Below are 3,896 nucleotides of genomic sequence, written 5' to 3' on the forward strand. Positions count from 1 at the left end.
CATCCACCCTACAGTGGTCCATTGTCTTGTTTGTGGTATCTAATTCCTGCTTCCCTGTTTCTTACTCCAGAACATTTCATGTTCAAAAGCATTTTTCTTGGGGAACAGGTGGGAAGGAAAGACTGCAAAACTTGAATCCATTTTTTGTCACTTGTTTGTATTTCCAGAAAAAACAACCTTGAGGTGTTTTAGTCCTATGGTGCGTGTGCTGGGCGCTGAGCTGTGCAGTGGGAGCCTCACATGAGAATCTGAGAGGTTCACAATGGATGGGGACACAGAATGAGCCCCCGAGCAGGCTGCCACGGGTGTCTAGCCTTGTGACCTCTCATGGCTGCTTTTGTGATTTTTGTTCCCCCTCTACATCCCCAATTTTTAACATACCTTTCACCAAAAAACTCATGTGATTGTAGGTAGTTTATTTTGTCAGGAGTCAGACCTTACTTTCCCACATGTTAACATGGATTCATGAATTACATACAACCAAAAGTAACTGCCATTAACCTGTGCAGTTTTATAATTGGCTTTTTAAAAATGTCGAAAATGTTATGGGTATCCTGCTCCTACCTCTGAGAAACCCGAGCAGTCTGAGACCTTGGAAGGACGGTCCCTGCTCACTGCAGTCCACGTCTTTGAGAAGAGCTACAAGAGGGCAATCTTTTTCTTTTTCCTTGCTTTAAAGTACAGTCCCTCTTAAGAGCAGAGGGGGCAGGCAGGGAGTCTCTTTATGATGCAGATTGCCGATTTGTGATGGGAATGATCTAAAGTTTTTGATAGGTGGAAAACATCCGCTCCCATGGTACCCAGCTGAGTTTAGGCCTAGAAGTGTTAAGCTGGACCATACAGGCTGCCCCTCCTCCAGCCAGACATGGGGGTTCAGCCTGATAGCCCAGGGCTCCTTGTTATTGCCCTACAGAGGAGTGTTCAAAACATAAAAGTGGTCTGAGAAAGGCAGCAATCTTGTTTTCTCATGTCTCCTTAGTTTATGGAGAAGCCAAAAAACTCCATAACAAATATTCAAATCCAGACCCTGTCTCCACCCTGAGATGGGTCCCCAGAGCCTGAGTGAGATGCGATATAATCTGGAGAGGGAGGAGATGAGGGCAGGATGAAGTGGCGTGGGAGGCGGGGTGGAAAGTGTAAGGTCCTTGCCTGGCTGTGGTATCAGCAGTGAGTCCAGCAAGCAAAGGGTGTTAAGGGAATGAACTTGATCCTTGAGGCCTCAAAGCAGGAGTGGTCTCTGTTCTCTGTGTATATCTGAGAGAGGAGTTGGGAGGTGAGGAGGCAGCAAAGATAAGAGGCCAGTGGCTGGGTGTCGTATTACAAAGCTGAGAGGAAGAAGCGAAGAAACGAAGAGCTCTCTCAAGAAAGATCAGAGAAAGCTGTGATTATGCAATATGCCCACTGCAGACAGACAGGCGGCACTGGCCCTTCATCTTTCTTAACCTCAGATTCCGAGAGAGCCTTTGTAGCCTGGTCAGTCACACACAGGCATGGGCTGGGCTGGGCTGGGGTGAACGTCAAAGCCCTGGCAGGTCTCACTCTGGATAAGAGGGTAAACCTGGGGAAAACCGAAGACATTTCCAGGTTAGGGAACTGATGCTCAGCCACAAGCCTGGTTATCAGTTTCCCACATTTAGCCCCCTTCAAGTTGCCCCCACCCTCCCAACCAAGTACCCCAGGCCTCTAAAGCTCCAGCACTGCAGATGGTAGCGTGTGCAGTGCCCCAACCTGCCACACACTTGGCAGGCCCCACCCAGACACGTGCCAACTTGAGCTTGGTAAAGAGTGAAACCGCAATCCATCCGGCAGTTGTTTTGTCTGCATGACACCAAACCAACCAGTTATTTACACTGGTGCCACACGGTAAGGAGAGCTATTTTGACTCAAACCAGCTCCTTGGACATTGTGGAGCCTGCGCTTGGTACCACATGGAAGGAAGGTAAAGACGTGTCAGAGACTTCCTCAGATTCAGGCTGAGTCAAACATCACTGCCCTGACTGAAACTGGGCACTGTTTTGGGTTGCCCCAATCTTAAGGCTCAAGCATTTTTGTTCACTGCCACAGCTCTGAGTATATGTATGGCCTCTGTGGGTGTCCCTGGGTGCCAGGAGTTACACAGAGCAGAAGGAACACCGCGCTGTGCTTGCAACTGAGAGGATTAGAAACCAAAGCAGCACAGACACAGATCCTCACCTAAGACAGCACTTGGCATTGGAGAAGGGTTGCAGGGAAGTGGGTCTCTGGGTCATAACCTGGACGTGGCTTATCCCCAGGGTGGGTTCTCAGTAAATGTCAAATCACCAGCTTCTTGCGTGGGCAAATGCCAGGAATAAATGTGGACCATGGAGAAGGCACGAGAAACATCCTGCCACTTCCTAACTGTGGAACCTTTGCTAGATGTGGCCTCTCCTGTGGTCATCTGAGGTTGGTCTGCTGATTTCTGAGGTCATGTCAAATGGCTCAGATTCTAGATAATAGACTTAATCTTTTGACAAAACCTGGAGGCAATGGAAGGGAAAGAGCTCCACAAAATACCTAAGATGTCTGATTAATTTTCCCTCACCCATGCACACCCATAGAGGGCTTTAGACTTTTGGACAGTTTTCCCATTCATCACGTTGCCTTTGAATGCTCTTGCCCTAGATATCCACAGAGCCAGCTGCCTGTCTCAGCGAGGCTTCTCTGGATACCTGCCCCCACATTTTACCAGCTCCATCTGCTCCTGCCACTTCCATCTCCCTTCCTGGTTTTATTTCTCTACTTAGCACTTACTATAATTTGATATACAAAATATTTTCTCATTTGTCACATTCATTGTCTGCTTTCCCCACTAGAGTGCAAACTCCATGAAGGTGGGGAGGTTTCCTTGTGCACTGCTTGTTCACTGCTGTACCCGGTGAGGACAGCACCTGGCACATAGCGAGTTATTAATACATACTTATCAAATGACTAAATCATTGTTTTATGTTCTTTGAGTAGATATGTTACAGATGAGGAAATTGAGGCAGAATGTATCTACGCTTATTTCCAATGACTAGGTTTGGGATAGGCTGAGAGCTGTGCTTTCTGCTGGGAAAGTGCTCTTTTCTCTTCTGAGCAACCATGTCCCTGAGAGGTGGGTCCAGTCATGGTGTCACCAGACACATACTTTGCCCTCAGATGTCAGCCTGGCTGGAGCACCATCTGGTGACCAGTGAGGAGAGCTGGGGGTCGTCAGTGGGCTGCTGAGGTGAGCGATTATGGGGAAGAACAGTTTCTAAGTGAACACAAAGGGTTGGACCAATAGTCTGGGCAAGTACCAGGGGAGCACTCAGCTTGCCAGGTCTGTGCCCAAAAGTGGAAGAGAGGCACTGAGCCAAAAGAGATGGTTAGCCTTCAGGATTGGGACTAAGAGTGGGGAGGGCTGTGGGTGGAAGCAGAAGGGCCACAGGAGGAAGGGGAATCCTCACACACTTTTTAGGCTTGGAAAGACACAACCACTTCAAGTCAGATGGGTCAGGCCTCACCTCTAGGAACCCTGATCTATTCAAGCTCTTAGTTCAGCCTCCTGAGTAGCTGGGACTATAGGTGCTTGCCACCATGCCTGGCTAATTTTTGTATTTTTTGTAGAGATGAGGTTTCGCCATGTTTGTTGCCCAGGAAGTCTCGAACTCCTAGCCTCAGGCAACCCACCTGCCTCAGCCTCCCAAAGTACTGGGATTACAGGCATCAGCCACTGCACCTGGCCGATGGTGATTACTTTCTTTCAACACTTGAAATATTTCACTCTCTTTTGCTTGCATGATTTCTGATGAGAAGTCTATTGTAATTCTTACCTTTGCTCCTCTAGGTATTTTTTTTCTTCTTTCAATATTTTCTTTTTGACTTTGATTTTCTGTGGTTTAAATATGATATGC

General features: G+C 47.9%; 1 annotated feature.

The window, feature by feature from the left end:
- Positions 481-1,332: an enhancer, noted in NCBI's record as "OCT4-NANOG-H3K4me1 hESC enhancer chr11:110435314-110436165 (GRCh37/hg19 assembly coordinates)". NCBI's record gives its function as "activates a minimal SCP1, AML or CMV promoter by ChIP-STARR-seq in naive H9 embryonic stem cells {active_cell/tissue: H9 hESC(naive)}" and the evidence as "EXISTENCE:reporter gene assay evidence [ECO:0000049][PMID:30033119]".

The sequence above is a fragment of the Homo sapiens genome, chromosome 11 (genome assembly GCF_000001405.40).
Source record: "Homo sapiens chromosome 11, GRCh38.p14 Primary Assembly".
NCBI lineage: Eukaryota > Metazoa > Chordata > Mammalia > Primates > Hominidae > Homo > Homo sapiens.